General features: G+C 43.2%; 2 long non-coding RNA genes across 4 annotated transcripts, besides 2 other annotated features; one reads left to right on the top strand and one right to left on the bottom strand.

Annotated features, from left to right (window-relative positions):
• Positions 1 to 813: 813 nt before the first annotated feature.
• Positions 814 to 7,794, bottom strand: LOC102724429 (uncharacterized). Of its 3 annotated transcripts, none has more exons than XR_001737878.1 (5): positions 7,756 to 7,794; positions 6,465 to 6,568; positions 3,086 to 3,191; positions 2,777 to 2,833; positions 814 to 1,473 (listed from the first exon to the last, which is right to left on the bottom strand). It is a non-coding gene; the product is annotated as an uncharacterized LOC102724429 (long non-coding RNA). The 3 variants fall into 3 exon arrangements; XR_946904.3 differs by lacking the exon at positions 7,756 to 7,794 and adding an exon at positions 7,042 to 7,317 and having other exon boundaries at positions 6,501 to 6,568; XR_426643.4 differs by lacking the exon at positions 7,756 to 7,794 and adding an exon at positions 7,042 to 7,314.
• Positions 3,407 to 3,607: a silencer, noted in NCBI's record as "peak22 fragment used in MPRA reporter construct". NCBI's record gives its function as "represses an SCP1 promoter by STARR-seq MPRAs in K562 erythroleukemia cells {active_cell/tissue: K562}" and the evidence as "EXISTENCE:reporter gene assay evidence [ECO:0000049][PMID:32103011]".
• Positions 6,447 to 12,533, top strand: LOC124904589 (uncharacterized). Its single transcript, XR_007067025.1, has 3 exons — positions 6,447 to 6,542; positions 6,991 to 7,115; positions 12,451 to 12,533. It is a non-coding gene; the product is annotated as an uncharacterized LOC124904589 (long non-coding RNA).
• Positions 18,412 to 19,611: an enhancer, noted in NCBI's record as "BRD4-independent group 4 enhancer chr1:5045612-5046811 (GRCh37/hg19 assembly coordinates)". NCBI's record gives its function as "activates an origin of replication core promoter dependent on BRD2, P300/CBP, MED14 and CDK7 cofactors, and independent of BRD4, by STARR-seq in HCT116 cells {active_cell/tissue: HCT116}" and the evidence as "EXISTENCE:reporter gene assay evidence [ECO:0000049][PMID:35650434]".

The following is a 20,900-nucleotide window of genomic DNA, read 5'->3' as shown; positions in this document are numbered from 1 at the left end:
GAAGGTGAGTGAGGTTTGAGAAGGGTGAGCCGTGGAAGGATTGTAATTATTGGGGTAAAAAAATGGCCAGTTCCCTTTCATACAGGGATATATGGACCAAAGTGAGGGCTTTGAACTGAACTCCAATTGAAATAGGAACCACAGGAGTGCTTTGAGTTAAAGGTAATCCTTAAAAAGAATAACTCACTCTGTCTAAATTGTTGACAAGAGACTCCAGGAAGACAAGCATAGAGACCTAATTGGATTAGGAGGCTCTAGGCCCAGAAGAAGCATGGCAGTGCTGGCTTGGCCTGCATGGAGCAATGAAGCAGATGGTGAGATGTGTTTGGGGTCTGAATATAATTTCACAGTGGAGTCAGCAGGGTGTACTGATGGATTGACTGTAAGGTATAAGAGAGAGGAGTCAAAGATGGTTTTCACTGAAAAATCCAGAAAGATGATGATACAGTTTGGCTGCGTCTCCACCCAGATCTCATCTTGAATTGTAGCTCCCATAATTCCCACATGTTGTGGGAGGGACCTGGTGGGAGATAATTGAATCCTGAGGGCCATTTCCCCCATACTATTCTCATGGTAGTGAAGAAGTCCCACGAGATCTGATGGTTTTATAAGGGGTTTCCCCTTTTGCTTTGCTCATTATCTCTTGCCTGCTGCCATGTAAGACATGCCTTTTGCCTTCCACCATGATTGTGAGGCCTCTCCAGCCACATGGAACCGTGAGTCCATTAAACCTCTTTTTCTTTATAAATTACTCAGTCTAGGTATGTCTTTATCAGCAGCATGAAAACAGACTAGTACAGATGGTGCTGCCATCAGACAAGATGGGGAGGACTTTGGCAGAGGCAGATAATCAGGACTGAGTTATGAACATGTGAGTTCAATCTCATTTGTAGATCTTCTTATGGAGAGACCCACTAGGCATTGTATATGTGAATCTGGGATTTTGGAGTTTGGCCTAAGCTGGTGTTTAAATTTGGGAGTTGTGGGAGAATTTAAAGTCAAAGTGTGGAAGGTCAACAGAAGTGCCAGCAGCCTCTGAGGTAGCCCCTGTGATCCCATCTTCTGATGTGCGTGGCCTGGTAGAATTCACTACCGCCTGAGGGTGGGTGGAAGCTGTGACCTGCCTTTAACTAACAGAATATGGCAAAGGTGATGGAATGCACATGATTATATTACCTTGTGTTTTTACAATTTTTACACAGTGAGTCTGCAGTGTCTTAAGAAGACTATCCCTTGGTGGATTTGAAGAAGCAAGCTGCCTTGTTGTTTGAGCTCTCATTTGGAGAGGGCTGCAGGTTGAGGAGCTGACAGCCAGCAGAAATGGGGGCCATCCCTCAGACAGCCATCAGGGAGCTGCATGCTGCCAACACCATGAGAGCTTGGCAGTGAATCCTCCCCCAGTCAAGCCTCAGATGAGACCACAGTCCCAGCTGACCTCTTGGTTTCAGCCTCCAAACTCCCAACTCAGAAAAACTGAAATAAAAGTAAAGGCATTGTCAAAAGTTACTACGTTGTAGTAATTTATTATGCTGCAATAGAAAACAAATTTAAGAGAGAAAAGAAGGAGCCACGGAGTGGATTTAAGAGCAGAGACTGGGTCCAGGCATGGTGACTCATGCCTGTAATCCCAGCAGTTTGGGAGTCTGAGGCAGGAGGATCACTTGAGGCCAGGAGTTCAAGACCAGCCTGGACAACATAGTGAGGCCCCATGTCTACAAAAAATAAAAACAAAGTAGCTGGGCATAGTGGCATGCACCTGTAGCCCCAGCTACTCTGGAGGCTGAGGTGGGAGGATCACTTGAACCCAGGAGTTCGAGGCTGCAGTGAGCTATAATTGCACCATTGCATTCCAGTCTGGGCAACAGAGCAAGACTTCATCTCAAAAACAAACAAACAAACAAACAAAAGCAGTGGCTGGGAACTTTCTTTCGAAGGGACACTTGGGCCAGGCAGTTTCACTAGGCCAGGTTCTGTGAGGAGACCTGTTGGTGGCTCAGCCTGCAACCTCAGAGGATTGGTCAGAGAACCCCATGAGCCCTTCCTGTGTCACTTTGGATCTGCTCCAGTTGAATACCATAAACCAGGAGGTGAAGGCCTACTGGCCGGATGCCTGAAAGCCAACCTCTCCCTTAGGGCTGCACATTGCATGCTGCAGCAGAGTTGCTCTAAATAGAAAATGGAACATATGGATCAGGAGATAATGTTTCCTTATGAATAAGAGAGCCTGCTGGGCTCCACTCCCCTTCAGATCAAAGGGCGCCCTTCCTCCCTTTTCTATTCACCATCCTGCCTCTCACATTTGAAGCTGGAAGTCAAATCTTTGCCTCCAGTCAGTGTTCTCTGTGGTGATTTACAATGAGATTTTTATTGTAATCTCAGAGTTTTTCATATTTGCCTTCCAAGTTGTAAAGGGCAGAAGCTTGCAGGCATCAATGTTGACTGCCCAAGCAAGTGGCTTCTGGCTTCTCTACTGGATTTCCAAAATGGCTGCTCTATTACCATGCCAACTCATTTTGTTGTTCCCTGGGGCTGCATCTTTTCTCACTGATATAATATTTATAAACAACAGAAGAAGAGGCAATGCTCTTTCTAACTGCATACCATTGGCAGAGCCTCTTCATTCATTCAACCAGCACTTGCTAAGCACCTGCTATAGACCAAACACAGTTTTTGACTCTGAGGTGCAAAGGAAAGTAAGCCTTGGTCCCTCCATGGGCACTGGCTTCATCTTCCAAAGAATGGCTTTCCAGACAGTTTCAATTCCCAAAGAACTCACCCCAAAGAGGCAACACCAGGTTCTTTGCTTTTCTTCCCCCGATCTCTCATGAGCACCCTGTCTCCATCAGCAAATAGGCAAGGAAATGAAGAGAGAACTCCAGTCAGACTAGTCCTTTTCACTACTTGACCAAAGAAGGCTGAGGTGGAAGGATCACTTGACCCCAGGAGTTAGAGCCTGCAGTGAGCTGACTGCACCACTGCACTCCAGCCTATATAATAGATTCAAACGATCTATTGTTTAAATCAATAGATTGGCTGGAAACAGGGTAGATGTGGTAAGATAATGGGATGATGGCAGCAAACGCACCATTGTTCCACCATGTAGTGAATGCAGGATGAGGAGATGCTGTCTTTTTCTAGTAGGAAGATGACTTTGCTGGATTTGGTAACCTCCATAAAGGGTATTCATGCAACTGTGGAATTAATGGATAATAAAATTAGACCCTGGATTTGATTGCATTTATAGAAATTGAAAAATGATTATTGTTTGCAAGACAGCCTATATGTCTTCTAAAGGGCTCTAGCTCTGCCAACTTTAACACAGAGAGAAGTCAGAAACGTGAGCAGAACTCTTTGTGCAGGGAGTCTCACTGGGTGCAAGAGAAAGCCATTTGTTTTTTACTGGGTTGCTGGGGGTGGTGGGTGGGGGTCAAAATTTTGTTTAAAAAGTCTGGTTCAACATCTATTGATCCAGTATCCACCGTGGTCCAGGCGCTGTCCTAGGTGCTGAAGATAAACCTGTGACTACAACCCACCCAGTCCCTTCTCTCTTACGGCTTACAGTCCAGTGAGAGGTATTTGCACTGATCTCTGCTTAAAATGAGATTCAAGAATAGCCTTAGTTGCTGCTTCTCCATTTTTCTGGGCATTCACGAATCCTTTGGTTTAGTTTTGCATTTTGTCAAACTTGAATCTTTGCTTCCACAGTAGATGGGAGTTAGGGACCTGGAGGCTAAGAGACCTACTTTGCTTGTCAAGAGGACATCTTTGTTTCCTTTATGTTTAAAGCATGAGTCACTTTTCAAAGATATGAGCAGATCTTTAGTGTGCAGATGTGCAAGAATCCTGGAAGTCATGTCCTCTGCCTTAAAACTCAATTTAAACAGTCCCATTTGTCTTGCAAAACACAATCCTGCACCAGTCTGTGTACGTGTCTGGTGAACAACCAGCTGGAGACTCAGCATCTCAGAGATCTATCTATTTTTACATAGTTAAAAAATGCATAGGGATGATGTTCCTAAACAAAGCATGTTAAGTGTTTTGGACACACTTTAAATGAGATTATTATAGACGGAGAAACTGTTCCTGCCTTAATTAGAAAAAATCTTGGCGCTCATACTGGGAAGCTAATTGGCACCATCAGAGCATTGAATGATTCCTAATTTTGCTACTTAGAGGCACACCTGGTGACTCGCCTGTCAGTGGTACCCAAAGACTCGGGCAACGAAGATATAAAAAGTAACAGCTGCGGTGATGCAAAAGCTTCCGACGCACACAGTGCTAAGAACATGCTCATGGGCTTAATCCTCCAGCTTGAACTTTGCCTGCAGCCTTGATAGGTGACACAGAAAGCTACAGGCAGACGAGCAGAGGGCAGAGTGACGCACCCAAATAGAGGCAGCACCACCTTTATTCGTGCCAAGGAAGTGTGCCCTGACCTGGGATGGAATCAAGGATGGAATTATGAGGGCAGGAGCCACCTGAAACCCTTTCATGCCTTTTCACACAAAGGTAGTAAGACAAGAGGAGCAGAGGTCATGACGTGTGGGGAAATGAGACAATCCAGCCACTGTGACTCTCAAGGAAGAGAGGAAAGAAATAGGCGGGGCGGGGCGGGGGGGTCTCTATCCTTTGACCAGGTAATTAGCAAATTGTAAAAGACACAAAGTCCTCCCAAGGGGTCATCTGGATGCAGAGTCATGTGATCCCCCATCAGAGAGTTTGACCCAGGGGTGTGGGTTGGCACCAAGGGTGAGGGGAGGAGGGCATCGTCATCACCCCATAAAGAGGAGACTCTGATGCAGCCAGCATCTGCCACCCTGTTTCCCCATTCCACTTGGTGATGTTCTAGGGTCTTTAGGATGAAGACTAGACTCGAAAGTAAGCAGTCCATGCTAGGAGGGAGCCACACAACCTTTCAAAACTCACTGTCAATTAAACGGAATTAATTTTGTGAGTCCCACCTGACACTCCAGCAGGATGGGTACAACACGGCCAATCTGTCGAAACAGAATATTCTCGCCCAAAATGATGAATATAAAGAAGAAATGGCTTTTGCTTTGGGCCTAATGGGAGCTTTCTATTTCTGAGGAATACAAAACAAACAAAAACAATGACAACTCACACACATGCACGTGCGCGCGCACACACACAGACACCAAAGATTAACCGTTCTCTTCCTTATTAAAAGCTCTAATTGCTTCTCCACCCCTGTCTTACCTTATAGTTTGGGGAAAAATACCCCTCTAACAACGCTCCCACCTCCCCGACAAAAGCGTTGCAAGTTCCTTATCTGAAAACAGATGTTTGAGAGCTGGCTTTTCTCCCAGGAGAGTGTCTGTGGATGAATTTGTTTCTCTGAATGAAGCCTTTGAGTAATTGGCACATTATGTAACTACACATCAGTCTATCACTAATAAGGAAAGTTCTTGAAGCTGAAACTAGCTGAATAGCAGGATGATGCCTTACCTACCTTCTCTTCCACGGGGCTTTTCACAACATGTTGAAAAGAAAGGTTTATTGCCATTGAGCTGAAGACTTCAAAAACATTTTGCCAAAGTAGGGCACAGGTGACTTAACCAGGTCAAATGACTTTTTAAAAGGGTATACTTAAGTACTAGTCCTCTTAGTAAATATCCCTTCAGACTTCAAAAGGCGTAAAAAGATTCAGAAGGAAATTGATTGAGCTCAGTTGGGAAGTGGAGGTGGGGTGCTTGCCCTAACTTAGACTGTAGTGACCCAGATCAATGGAAACACTAAGGAACAGCTGTATATTTGGGTTAAAGAGAGTTTTCTTAATTTTTGGATTGCTTGACTTTTTAAAAAATATTCCTTTTTTTGAAAACCCTAAGAGACTGTCTTGACCAGAGACTAAGATGTAAGTGGTAGTAATTCATTTGTGATTCTGGGGAAAGGGAGATTGGAACAGGGAGGAAAGACGGGGAAGTAGGGAGAGCCAAGACAAGGGCACCTTGTAGACGTCCCCCCACCCCACCACCACTACTGGGAACAGCTAGTTGCTAGATTTAGTAGATAAAAATACAGGATGCCCAGTTAACTTTGAATTTTGGATAAACAACAAATACAATTTTTAGTATAAGTATATTTCATGCAATGTTTTGGATATATTTATAAAGTAAAACATTTGTTATTTTTCTTATAATTAAATTTATCTGGGTAACCTGTATTTTATCTGGCAATCCTAACCAGGTAGAACCTTCTGAGAAGCCTCATGAGGTATCTCTTAGAACCCCCTGCTCAGAGTTGAAGGAGGAAGTATTCAACAACCTCTTCTCCATTAGTCACAAATAGCACGTGGGGTGTTAACTTGTGATAGGTCCCTTATGACATGAGGTCACAGGACAGGTTTGCAGAGGGATCCCCCATCCCAGTGGGCTTCAGTGAACGCTGGGGATGGAAGTTCGAGGTGTTCTGTGGGCCTGAAGTCAGGTGCTGTCAGGTTGTACCTGCATAAAGCTGGTCAAAGACTCAATGATCCTCACCACAGTGGCAGGAAGAAGAGTGAATCAAGAGGTATCCAAGAGGTATCTTATCTGAAACACGCAGGTTCCTAAAAAGGATGAAGCACAGGCATAAGTCTGAATGTACTGATGTATTGATTCTCTTAACAAGTATTGATCACAGACCTACTGATATGGTTTAGCTGTGTCCCCTCACCACCCAAATCTCATCCTGAATTGTAGTTCCTATAATTCTCACATGTTGTGGGAGGGACCCGGTAGGGGGTGATTGAATCATGGGGGCAGTTTCCCCCATATTGTTCTCATGGTGGTGAATAAGTCTCACGAGATCTGATGTTTTTATAAGGGGTTTCCCCTTTTGCTGGGCTCTCATTATCTCTTGCCTGCCACCATGTAAGATGTCCCTTGCTCTTCTGCCATGATTGTGAGGCCTCCCCAGCCATATGGAACTGGGAGTCCATTAAACCTCTTTCCTTTATAAATTACGCAGTCTTGGGTATGTCTTTATCAGCAGCATGAAAACACACTAATACATGGACTATGTGCAGATCGGCAAACATACCCAGCCCTGTTGTCCTGAAGCTTCCACTCCAGGTGATTGTGTATCTTGGGAGATACCTGTGACCAAACTGGCAGGTAGGTTGTGGAGCAGCAGAGACTTCAGCCTTGTTGCTTACAGCTGCTTTCTCTGTCTCTACTAAAAAGAATAGGACCTGGTATGCAGCAGTTGCTTGTGGGCCCTTGTAGTTCTAGAATCCTCATTATGAATACATAGTCTAGTGTGTTACACACTGTGAGATTTCAGAAAGTGGAGAGGATTTGTGAGCCATGAAGCAGGAAAGTGTGGCAAATTTGAGGGTGGAAGGGGCAGAAGGTCAACAGGCCAGGAACCCTGGCAGCCATAGGAAGAAGAGGGTTGCAGGGGTGGCAGGTGATAGGGACAAGGTCACAGGGGGTCCTCCACCATGATAAGAATGCTGATCTTCTTTCCAGGGGAAGTAGGAAGCCCATAAGAAATCTTGCACAATGGAGAATAATCATTGGATCTGAGTTTTTGAATTAAGCATTTTTTATCTTGAAACAATTAAAGGTTCATATGTAGATGTAAGAATTAGTACAGCCTGGCACGATGGTTCACGCCTGTAATGCTAGTACTTTGGGAGGCCAAGGTGGGCAGATCACCTGAGGTCAGGAGTTCAAGACCAGCCTGCCCAACATGATGAAAACCTGTCTCTACTAAAAATACAGAAAATTAGCTGGGCATGGTGGTGGGCACCTGTAATTTCAGCTACTCTGGAGGCTGAGGCAGGAGAATCACTTGAACCTGGGAGGTGGAGGTTGCAGCAAGCCGAGATCACACCACTGCACTCCAGGCTGGGTGACAGAGCGAGAATCTGTCTCACAAAAAAAGTAAAATAAAATTTTAAAGAAAGAATTAATACAAAGACATCCCATGTTTTCACCAGCTGTAACATACAGCAAGATTACAGCACCATATTATAACTACGATATTGGCATCGATATCGTCAAAATATGAAGCATTTCCATCACCACAAGGATCCTTCATTGTTCCCCTTCACAACCTACCCACTTCCTTCCGGTCCCCAACTCCTCCTCAACCCCTGGCAAGCATGACTCTGTTCTCCATTTCTATAATGTTGTAATTTCAGGAATGTTATATGAGTGGAATTATAGAGTAAGTAACCTTTGCGCACTGGCTTTCTCCATCAGCACAATTCTTTGGAGATTCAACCAGGTTGCGGAGTATTTCAAGAGTCTGCTCAGACTTTTGCTGAGTGGCATTCCTTGGTGTGAACACACCGCAGTTTGTTTAACCACTCACCTGCTGAAGGACATCTGAGCTGGTTCCAGTTTGGAGCTATTGGGAAGAAAGTTGCAACAAACATTTGCGTGTTGGTTTTTGTGTGACAGTGGTCATTTCTCTAGGATCAAGGCCGAGAAGTGCAATTGGTGGATTGGATGGCAGTTTATTTATTTATTTATTTTATTTTTATTTTTTTCAAGAAAATGCATGGGCTGGGCATGGTGGCTCACACCTGTAATCCCAGCACGTTGGGAGGCTGAGGCGGGCAGATCACCTGAAGTCAGGAGTTCAAAACCAGCCTTGACCAACATGGTGAAACCCTGTCTCTACTAAAAATGCAAAAATTAGCTAGGCATTGTAGCATCTGCCTGTAATCCCAGCTACTTGGGAGGCTGAGGCCAGAGAATTGCTTGAACCCGGGAGGCAGAGGTTTCAGTGAGCTGAGATCACGTCACTGCACTCCAGCCTGGGCAACAAGAGCGAAACTCCATTTAAAAAAAAAAGAAGAAGAAAAGAAAGAAAGAAAGAAAGAAGGAAAGAAAGAAAGAGAGAAGGAAAGAAAGAGAGAGAGAGAAAGAAAGAAAGAAAAGAAAGAAAGAAAGAAAGAAAGAAAGAAAGAAAGAAAGAAAGAAAGAAAAAAAAAAAGAAAATGCATGAATTTTGCAGAAAAATCCCAAACCGTTTTCCAGATTGGGTGTATCATTTTAAATTCTGACCAGCAGTGTGAGAGCATCCTCACCAGCATTTGGTATTGTCACTGTTTTTTCTTGTAGCCATTCTGATAGGCATGCAATGTTACTTCATTGTGATTTTAATTTGCATTCCTCCAGAAGTTAATGATGTTGAACATGTGTTGACAGTTGTTTATTTTCTTTGGTGAAATGTCCCTTTATGTCATTAACTCACTTTCTAATTGGATTGTTTTTTTTTTCCTATTGTTGAATTTGGAAAGTTTTGTTTATATATTCTAGATAATAATCCTTTGTCAGATATGTGGTTTGCAGATATTTTCTGCCAGTCTATAGCTTGCATTTTTATCCTCTTAACAGGCTCTTGTCTTCACAGGGCAAAAGATTTTAAGTTTGATGAAGCCAAATTTATGTTTCCATTTATAGATCATGCTTTTGGTGCCAAGTCTAGGAAATCTTTGTCTACCTTAGATCCAGAAGATTTTTTCCATTGTTTTTTCTAAAAGTTTTCTAGTTTTATATTTTATATTTAGTTCCATAGTCCATTTTTGGTGAATTTTTGTATAAGGGGTGAGCCTTAGTTTGAGGTTTATTTTATTGAATATGAACACTCACTCACTCCAGCACTGTATCAGTTTGCCAGGGCTGCTGTACAAAGCATCAAAAACTAGGTGCCTTAAACAACAGGAATTTAGTAGCTCACAGCTCTGAAGACCAGAAGTCCAAGTTCAAGGTCAGCAGGGTTGGTTCCTTCTGAGACTGGAGGAGTCTGTTCCATGCTTCTCTCTTATCTTCTGGTGGTTTGGTGGCAATACTTCTCATTCCTTGTCGTGTACATGCATCATTCCAACCTCTTTCTTGACTTTTACATGGAGTTCTTCCTGTCTTTCCTTCATATTTCCTTGGTTTATGCCTGTCTCTGTCCAAATTTTCCCTTCTTGTAAGAACATCAGTCATATTGGATTAGGGTCCATGCTAATGACCTTATTTTAACTTAATTACCTCTGTAAGTATCCTCTTTCCAAATAAGGTCTCATTTGGGGTACCAGGGGCTAGAACTTCAACATATCTTTTTTGGAAGGCACCATTCAATCCACAACAAGCACCATTGGTTGAAAAGTCTATCTTTCTTCCATTGACTTACTTTTGCACCTTAGTCAAAAATCAATTGAGAATATTTGTGTAAATCTATTTTTGGGTTCTCTGTTCTGTTCCATTATCTATAAGCCTGTCCATCTGCCAAGATCATCCATTCTAGATTACCATAGCTATATAATGTCTCTAAATTGGATAGATCTTCTTTTTCAAAATTGTTTTTTAGTGATTCTAGGTCCTTTATAACATTTAGAATAATCTCATCTATATCTACAAAAATATTTGCTGATACTTTGATACAATTTGTGCTAAAACTGTATCTCAATTAAGGGAAAATTAACATATTTACTATGTGAGTTTTTAAATCTATGAATACTGTATGTCTTTCCATATATTTAGAGCTTCCATTTCTGTCTTCAAGATTTTGTCATTTTCAGCATACAAATCTTGTACATGTTTTGTAAGAGTTACACCTACATATTTTATTTTAAGTGATTATGAATCATATTGCATTTTAAATTTTGGTGTCCTATGTTCATTGTGGACATATAAAAATACAATTGATGTTTATATGTTTATCTAATATCTTGCAACCTTGCTGAACTTATTAGTTCTCTTGTAGATTCTTTGGGATTTTCTTATGCCACCTGCAAACAGGGACAGTTTTTCCTTTTCAATCTTTGTGTCTTCAATTTTCTTTATGTGTCTTATTTACCTGGCTAGAACTTTCATTACTATATTGAAAAAGAGATCAGACATCCTTTCTTATTCTCATTCTAAGGAAGAAAGTATCCAGTTTCTTACCACTAAGTCTCATGTTTGTTATAGGTTTTTTTGTAGATCTTTTTTGTCAAGTTGAGGATGTTCCCATGTCATTTTTCTAAGAATTTATATTATGAATGGGTGTTGGATTTTGTAAAAACATTTTCTGCATTGATTGATATAACCATGCAATTTTTCTTCTTTAACCTGTGAATGGGATAGGTTACATTGGTTAATTTTCAAATATTGGGCCATCCTTTCATTCTTGGAATAAGCCCCATTTGATCATAATTTATTTTTTGTGTTGCTGAATTCTATTTATCAATAGTTTGTTAAGGTTTTTTTAACCTATATTCATAAGCGATATTAGGTTATAGTTGTTGTTGGATTTTTTGTTATTGTCTTTTTCTGGGTTTCAATAACAATATAACCCTCACTTCATAAAATGAGTTGAAAAGTGTTCCCTTCTCTTCTATTTTCTGAAAGACATAGGGTGAAATAATGTTCATTTTTAAACATTTGGTAAAACTCTCCACGTGAAGAATCTAGATGGATCTCCATTTTTAATAGATCACTTTTGCTGCTGGGTGAAGAATGAGTTGTAGGAATGGGTTTCTAGAAAATATGGTGGAACAATTTGAAGTGTGGAATCCTGCTTCAGATGTGAAGAAATATTGAATCAACTACAACATATCAACAATAGATAATGGAACAAAAAGATAAGACATGAAGGAGGAAAAGCAGACTGTTGGTGGAGATCAGAAAGTATGAAAGGGGATTAGGTAGATTTTTAAAGTGACCAAAGATAAATTCTAGAAGAGAAAATTATGAGGGGAAAATTTTGATTTAATAATAGATTGAAGAAGATTGAAGAAGAAGCTAGATAGAGCTGAAGAGAATATTAAGGAAGTGAAAGAACCAAGGAAATCAGCCTAAATGTTGTACACAGAGATAAAGAGATGGAAACTTGAAGAGATAATAAAGACTAATAATGAAGACTGACATTTTAAAAGAATTCTGAGAAAGAGATAATGCAAAATTCCAAACGCTGAAGGCACGAACTATAAAAATAAATCTAAATCGAGAAACCGTGTAATAAAATGCAGAACATTCCAAAGGAGAGAAGGCATTTAAAATATTTCTAGAAAGAAAAGCATCTCTGATGGAAGAACAATGAGAATGAGAGCACAGTACATGTCTTAAGACCTTGAAGAGGCATCTCAAAGGGCTGGGGGGAAGTAAACATTGACCTAGAATTCTATACTGGACTCCGTTATGACTCAAGGTTGAAAGCTAAATAAAAACACCCACGCATGTATTTCAGATATATAAAAACCTAGAGATTTTATATTCACAGGCCCTTTCTAAAATAACCTCAGGGGAAGTTCTTTTTATAAAATAAACTATGTAAATGTGTATAAATATCAAGTGTTGGCAAAGGTGAAAGACGAGAACTCGTGTACAGCAGGTAGGTATGTGACTCGATACATCATGTTTCAGAGGGCATTTGGCATTGGTTAGTAAGGCTGAGGTTAACGCTAAAACCCAGAAATCCTGCTGTTTATAACCTAGACCAGAAACTCTTGTTCTTATATCCCAGCTAATGTACATGAAGGTGTCCTCTGCAGCATCGTCAGAACAAGGGAAACAGTGAAATTACCAGCGTTCATCAACTGAGAAATGTATAAATAAATTATGGTATAATCCGATTAAAAATGCTATTCAGCCATTAGATAATTGATTTTGTTTTCTGTGAATCAGCCTATATAGTGTTTAAAAAATGAGGTTCAGTTGAAAAAAGGTGTAACAGAATTACATGTCTAGAACTGTCACACTTATGCAAACAAAAATTCACACATAACAATACTAACAAGGTTTCGTGGTTAACATTCCATTTGTGTGCACCCATGCGTTTGTGTGTATGTAGTAAATAAATAAAAACTTTGACAGAAAGATGCGTGCAGATAATTTAATAATCGTTAATTCTGGAGTGCTCTTCCTATGAAGAAGAAGGAAGAATGTGATGTTGCAGAAGGGCTCAAAGGGAATTTTAAAACATACATATTATTTCTTTCATATTTTAAACAATCTGCATTGAAATAACCAATGATATTTTATAAAGATGTTGAGTACAAAGAGGTTTGTTACATTTCTGTGTGTATTTTTCTATACTTTGAATTTTAAAAGATGGCAGAATGGATGGAGCAAGTGGGCACAGAGACACCAGCGAGAGACTCTGGCCGGGACATCAGTGGCTGGAACCTAGATGGAGGGGTGTGGGCTGGGGAGGAGGCTATGGATCAGATGGAAGCACAAAGACCCAAGAATAGCTATGGCTGCTGTTTCAGGCATCTTTTGCTGGGTGATGAAATACCCCAAACAATGACAACTCTTTTTCACTCTGTGAGTTTTCCTGCTTGGCCTCACTGCTGCATTTGGAGGGGCTGAGCTGGATTTGGCTGCCATGGCTGAGATGACCTTGCCACTCTCCACATGTGGTCTTTCCAGCCAGATTTCTTCACACTGTGGCCACCTCCAAACAGCATTCAAGATGATAAGTGCAGACACACTCTGTATTACATTTGCTGGTATTCCATTGGCCAAAATAAATCACAGTGTGAGAGGAAAATACACAAGTGAATACTGGTGTGATTCACTGGGGGCTGCGACTCCAACAATCTACCACCATAATACTAAAATAATTAAGGTAGTGTTGTGTTGACATAGACATAGAGAGAGAGCAACATATAAAAACCAATAACCTCAGGGGAGGATCAAACAGATAAAGCAATTGAAGAACAAGGTAGAATAATTTGTCATACTATAAATCGAGAATTATTATAAAGAGTAAGAAAGGATTTTTTTAACAAGGTGCCAAAAGCACTAACTATAAAATGAAGGATCAATACATTTGATTACATTAAAGTTATGAAGGCTTACCAAAAGACACCTCAGAGTGAGTGGAAAGACAGGTCACGTAGTGGAGGAAGAGATCAAATATAATCAATAGAAGACCAATGTGCAGATGACAGGAAGAACATTTATTAATCACCATGGAGGAGATGAGAAACCCAACAGAATTAGTGCCCTCGAAGTCGCTAAATATAATACGCAGGCATGCCCAGGAAGATGAAATGCAATTGGTCAATACACATAAATAAAGGTACTCAACCTCATTACTAATTGGGAAAATACAAATTAACACCACAATGAAATATCAATATGTACACATCAGAGTGGTAAAAGCTTAAAGATCTGGCAATAGGAGGGGTTGAGGCATACCCATTTCGTGTTGGAGGAGAGCCTGTGTTTTATACAGAGGACAAGAACAGGGAATTTTCAGAACTGCAAGCTACAGATAGACTACCAAACGTCTATGAGCTGTATTTATGGATTACATAAATTGTGGGACACTTGAAATGGAAATAAGTAAGTTGCAGCTATACACGTCACCACAGATGAATCTCGGAAGTATGTGATAAGCCAAAGAAGTATGTCACAAAGAACACAGGCAGCCTAATTCCTTTTATATAAAGATCAATAGCAGGCACAGCCCCAGCTCTGTTGTTCAGGGATACATGCGTAGGTGGCAAGGCAATAAATAAAAGCAAGACAATTGTTATCAAAAAGAGGTCAGGACAGAGAAGATCTGTAAGGAGAAGGGATGGGGGATGTATTGGGAAGAAGCGTGAAACAGTCACAGACTCTCTCTAAGACTCTGGCCAAGGTTTACTTCTTGATCTGGGCAATGATTATAAAATTATTCTTAAAAAGAAAATAGTAAAAAGTATAGCTTGGAGGGGACGAGAGTGAGTGAAGGGCATTAGGGAAGAGGCACTGGCACAAAGTTCAGTGGCTTTCAGGGTGGAGGCACTGGAGCCAGAAAAAGCTCTGTGAGTAGGATGGATGTCCAGAGATATAACTGGGAAGATTAGTGAGGTATTGGGAGTGCTAGATGAAGACGAGGAGAGTTGGCAAGAGTGAGTCCTAGATTTCTGGCTTATTTACTCGGTGCATGGTAGGCCATTTATCCAAATATATAAGACTGGCTGTGCCTTGAAAAACTGAAGGGTTATAACTTTTTGACATTGTGGTGTTTTGAAGACATCCAACCAAGCAGGCCATGAGCCGTATGGTTTAGGAGCTCAGAGAGGACATGGGAGCTGGAGATACAGGTTCCAGAGGTGTCTGTGTGCAGTGTTGACTGAAGCCATGAGTGTGAATGTAGGTGGCTAAGGGAGGAGAGAGAGAGAGAGAGAGACAGAAGGCCTGAGATTCTTCATCTGAATAAGAGAGTGCACAGCAGGGGGCATGGCAGCCCAAAGCCAAGGGAGGGCACCAGTTCAAGAAGAAGGCGATGGCTCAACATGGTAAATACAGAAAGGTGAGGTATGAGGACGTCCAAGAGATGTGCTTTGGATTTAAGTCAAGAAGGTCATTGGCAGCTTCAACTGACATAGCCTAGAGGACACGGAGGGGTGGAAGTCAGATTCGAGGGGGTGGAGGGAGTAAGCAGTTGCCAAGCGTATCCAGTGGTGTAGGGGAGGGAAAATATCTTTTCTTCACTCATTGCAAAATTCATGACTGAGGCCCCTATAACAAAAGATAAGAATAAACTATGCAAGTTTATTTAATAAAAGGTTTATGTGACCATGGAAACTCCCGTAAGGAAACGAAGACCAAAAGAAATGGGTATACCATTGTGTTTTAAGCTTGAATGAAGAAGCAGGTCTTTGTGAAGTGTGACTAAAGGGGGTATGATTAATGGTGATGAGCTGGAGATGCTTAGCCAGGCCTGTTTGTCCAGATTCTTCTATGTGTCCCTGTGTTTCCAGAGATAAGACTGTTCTTTTCCTTCTGGGAAGCAAGGGTACCTCTCACATGAGGATCTTACGACCTGCATCAGGGGAAGTTCAGGAAAATCCTTCCTAGGTTTTATGATCTGCTTCAGGGGAGAAAGGCAGAGGGGAAGAGGAGAATGACCTTGTGTTTCTGCCATTTTCTCAAATGCCAAGGTGCATATCTGGGGGTAGCATGTCTTGAATCCCATCAATAGCAAAGGCAGGCATGCAGTAGGATCAGGAACTGGCTTCCCTTGGGGGCATCATCCCCAGAACACCATGATGCCTGCTTTATCTGCTCCTGCAGCTTCAGTACCTGGGAGAGAAGTCTTGGCATATCCTGGGTTCTTAATGAAGTCTGTGGAGTGAATGAATGTGGAGTAAGCATCTCAGTCTACGACACCATCAAACTTCCATTCCATGCAGCTGCCTTGGAAATATTTACACCTGAGCAGAGATGCATGCTTGTGGAACATTCACTCATTACAGGTACATTGTTTGAAGAAGTCCTGTAATCATGAAATGCATTCAAAGCAAGCTGAAAACTAATTGCATTATGTCGTGTTGGTAATGGGGAGGTAGCATCAAGGATCTCTCTTACCTGCAATGTTGGACACACGAGAGAGTCTCCGAACAGCTGTCACTGAAGGAAGGGAAGCGACAGTCAGGGGGGCCAGATATGAGCTTCGCATGCATCCTTTTACCTGAGTCTCATGACTACCTGAGGGCTAGCAGGTGGGTCCCCAGCTGCCAAGGGAGCCTCAGGTTCAGGGCCCCACAGCAGGTGCACAGCAAAGGTGGGATGTGGGGCCACAACTGCTTGAGTTCAAAGCCCTTCCAGCACCATTCATACTCTTGAAGTGTATGTTCACGACGTGCAAAGATTGTGGATCGTTTTTCGGAGACAACGGCAGACTGAAAACCTCCCAAGTGGTTTCTGTTACCTTGTATGCATTTAGGGGACATACTTTTCTCCAGATAGCTTTGTCTCCATTAACTTCTTGAGCTGCTTCAGAATATCAAGAGTGAGTCCCCCACGGCTCCCAGTGATAGGCCCAGCTTAACAGAGAGTGAGAAATACTTTCTCCAACTACATCAAATCAGGTCCCTGCCTCTTCCTGAAAGTGTTTCTTGATGGTCACCCACATTTCTGTAATACAGGTTCCCTGGATCCTCTATTGCTTAGAGTGTTATGTACCTGCTGTGGGGCCCTAAGCGTGAGGCTAGTGTTGCAGCTCGGGATCCACTGCTCGCCCCCAGGTAGCTGTGAGGATCAGATGAGAAGATACATGTGAAGTGCAAATCTGGACCTCGTGACTGTCGCTTCCCTTCCTTCACTGACACTTGGGAGACTCCCAGGTGTCCAACCCGGCAGGTACGAGAGATCTGTCATGCTATCTCTTGCTCTGCTATTTCAGGTGACCCTGACAATCAGGGTTAGGAGGGAGGGTGTCTGGCAGGGTAGTATGTCTTAGAGCTTCCAACCCCACACTGGGTTTACAGTAGTTTTTAAATAGTGAAAGTACAGATCCAAAGTGATTTACATGTGTTATTTTCACACACACACACACACACACACACACACACATGCACACACACACACAGAATGTCTTTGAGAGAGATTCTCTTATGAAGCCCATTTTACAGATGAAGAAACTGAGGCCCACAGAACTGAGGCCTACATCACACCACAGCTTTTAGACGGAGGCACCAGGATTCAAACCTCAGTGTCTGAAATGAAGACAACTTCCCTTAAAAGTCATCCTCATCTGACTTGCACCCATTGCCCTCAGCGCTTCCAGATCTTTTAGAGGAAGGGAAGGCTGGAAGGCAAGTAGGAAAGAGATCAAGAGTCTTTCAAGCTTATTGCCAAATAGTTGTCTCTGGTTCAGTCAGTCCCGGAATGTTCTGTTTCCCTTTGCCATCCTTCTCGGCTGGAGCTTTTTCTCCAAAATGAATGCAGAGGAAGAAGCTCATTAAGAGAACTAAGTATATTTGTTCCTCCGCTTGATACCGCGGAGGCTAGAGATTTGAATCTGGGAGGACTGGGGGGACGCAGGCGAGAAAACAAAAGAAATAGCAACTTGAAAGGGCACGGATTAGCCCAGTGGCTGTTCTATTTTTTCACCCATGGCTTGCACACAGAAGGTTTTCTGTATTGCCATCTCCTGCTTTTTTATATTATTTTTATTTCTCATCAATTACAGAGGCCCATTTGCGGGATACTACAGTGGAGGAGAGACTATGTTGTGAATGCTTCTATAGGCAAAGTGTGCATCTTAAACATGGAAATGACAGCCGTTGCTGAGAGTGAAGTGGTTGACTTTGGCGGTGAAGAGTCGTTCTTGACGAGGATTCTCAGCATCTAGGGATGTCTGCATCCAGTAAAAAAAATGAGATGGCCCAGACTGGGTAAGGGATGCTATTTCCAGTTTGATTTTTATTTTTTAACTCCAAATTCTATAGAGTGGAACACGGATTTAGTCTCAGAACTAATTCCTGGAATGTCTGCCCGAGTTTCGGGTGGTTAGATATGACACAATACCAGAAGAGAGCATTAAAGCAGGTGGCACAGCCGTGTGTCTGTGGGGGATGGGGAGGGAGTTTTCTGTAATTTTCAAAGCTTTGATTTATTGCTATGTTCAAGAATTAATTATAGCCTGAGGTCCCTGAAATGAAGGAGGTAAAACAAAACGAAACAAAAAAAACAACATGACAATTCCACATCTGGTAGAAGACACAGCTGCATCTATTTAGGAAAGCTGCCCCATTCCTGGTTCCCTGAACTCAAGCAAATGGTCCTACCTTCCAGGCTGTCTCCTGGGGCCAGAGAACCGTCAACACTTGGAACATCATTAGCATCCTTCTTCTTGTGGGTCCTAGGGAGAGAATCACATTCTCAGTACAGCAGGCATCTGTGGCTACAGTTTTAAAATGAAGATATACAACCGGTGGTCTGTGGTCCCTGCTCAAGGTAACCTCTGCTGACTCATTATGTGCCTGATAAGATCTCTTGTCGAGGCCATGAAAAATGGCCTTGTACTGAGATGCAAGCCGGGCTGAGCGAAGGAAGGGGAGGAGGGAAATCATGGTTTTAGAAGTGAGACAATGAGTTGTTTTTGCCTCTTTAGAATCCATGGCTGTCTCTAGGCATCAGCCCTGAGTGCTACCATCTTCCCGGGCAGCAAAAGTTAGGAGAGGGAGGCCAGGCGTGGTGGCTCAAACCTGTAATCCCAGCACTTCGGGAGGCCAAGGCGGGTGGATCACCTGAGATCGGGAGTTCGAGAAGAGACTGACCAACGTGGAGAAACCCCGTCTCTACTAAAAATACAAAATTAGCCAGGCATGGTGGCACATGCCTGTAATCCCAGCTACTTGGGAGGCTGAGGCAGGAGAATCACTTGAACCCGGGAGGTGGAGGTTGCGGTGAGCTGAGATCATGCCATTGCACTCCAGCCTGGGCAACAAGAGTGAAACTACATCTCAAAGAAAAAAAAAGTTAGGAGAGGGAGACTAGGACTGTCTGTTAATAAATGGTCTCCCTAACTTGCAGCTGACTCAGAGACAACTGACATAGCCTCCCGTCGGGTTTGTGACCAAGCCCCTGTCCAGGTTCTATGTAACAGCTGCATCATGGATATCCATTCAGCCTTCTTCTTCAGCACAGTATCCTAAGATAACATTCAGGAAACACGGGGATTTTTAACACATTGAGGTATTGTTTTTTTCAAGCATATAGGATTCACGCAACATATTTTTTTAATGTCTATTAAGTATTCAGCAGGAAAAGTGGCACAAAGCAATGTCAGAGTTGCCTCTGCCATCAAACAGCTTTCAATCAGTTGGAGAACAGAGGATGTGGGGGTGGATGGTGGGGTGGGGGAGACTCTGAGAGCCACAGGAAGACCATGGAAGGGATTTGTGAGACCAGAAGGAACCAAAGTGAGCTTTATGGATCTCAGCCAGACCAGTGTGTGGGCAGAGGGTGGCTACTTGGAGAAAGAGGTATTTCAGGGCAGGCCCAGTTCCTTGGGTGTCTGTGCTATAAACCTGGTATTGCCTGGGCAGGAAAAGAACCTCAGTTCTGGAGGTTGGGATCTACAAGGGAATCATAGGAAATCGAGGTGGGCAGGTAGGATGGTGAGGGATGCAACCGGCTGTGACCCATTGGCTGGAAGGACACAGCAGACTCAGCTCCCCCCGGACTGGGGCTCCACATCTATAAAATCATTTTCTAAGTTCCTCCAATCGTGTGTTCCTGCAGAGCACTAAAAACAGGATGAAGAATAGCATCTGGTGCCACAGATGAGATGCCAGCTTTGGAGCCATCCGGGTGGGTCCGTGGTGGGGGCAAGTGGGAGCTCTACATCAGGAGGGCGGTGCCAGCCTTGCGTCTGCCTCGGCCCCACACAGTGACCTCACTGGACCCCACAGTCCGTCCTCCCCGCCCGTTCATCCATCTTTGGGCTAATTCGCTACCTTCATGGCCAGTCCTTCTCCTCGCCCGTACGCACTCTCCTCCTCCGGGCTGCCCCGTTCTCCCCTCCCCAGCCCCTGGGGACGCACACATGGCAAGGCCTTGTCAGGAGGCTCGGTGAAATGAGACAGAACTCACAGATGCAGCTTGGGCGAGGGCATCCCAGGGCCTCCAGAAAACGCAAGGCAGAGAGACAGACTTTGCAGTCCAATTTCTAAAGTCATTTGAAATGTCCATAATTATGCTGCATGTATATTTGGGAGTTGAGGGAATGGGAGAGGCTGAGAATCAAGAATGAATGGGGAACTGCCAGTGGGCACAGACCATCCACTAGGGAAGTGGGAAACTGAGTCATGTCTGGATCCCAGCCCTGTCAGCACCTGTGTGACCAGCCCAAGATGGTGATGGACACCCTCTGGTGCCTTTCCTCCTCAGTAAGGCAGCTGCAGTGGGCTGGGGGAGAAGGAATGTCCTGGGTGGTGACGCAGAGTCCCTCTCCTTGTGGAGCTGAGTGAAACAGTGGGGTCTTGGGATCTCATTCTCATGAGACTCCATGCTTCTCAGGAGAAAGGACAGAAGAGGACCTGAGGGAGCCTGTTTTGTTGCTAGAATATTGTGTACTCTGGCAAAGAACAACACCCGGAGAAAATCAACTTATGGCCCAGTGACTGCAGCGTGTGCCCCTCAGAGGAGGCTATTCCGGTTCATTGAGCCAAGTTGAGAATAGCTCTA

This window comes from Homo sapiens, chromosome 1 (genome assembly GCF_000001405.40).
Source record: "Homo sapiens chromosome 1, GRCh38.p14 Primary Assembly".
NCBI classification, from domain to species: domain Eukaryota; kingdom Metazoa; phylum Chordata; class Mammalia; order Primates; family Hominidae; genus Homo; species Homo sapiens.
This window is presented reverse-complemented; position numbering and strand designations above follow the sequence as displayed.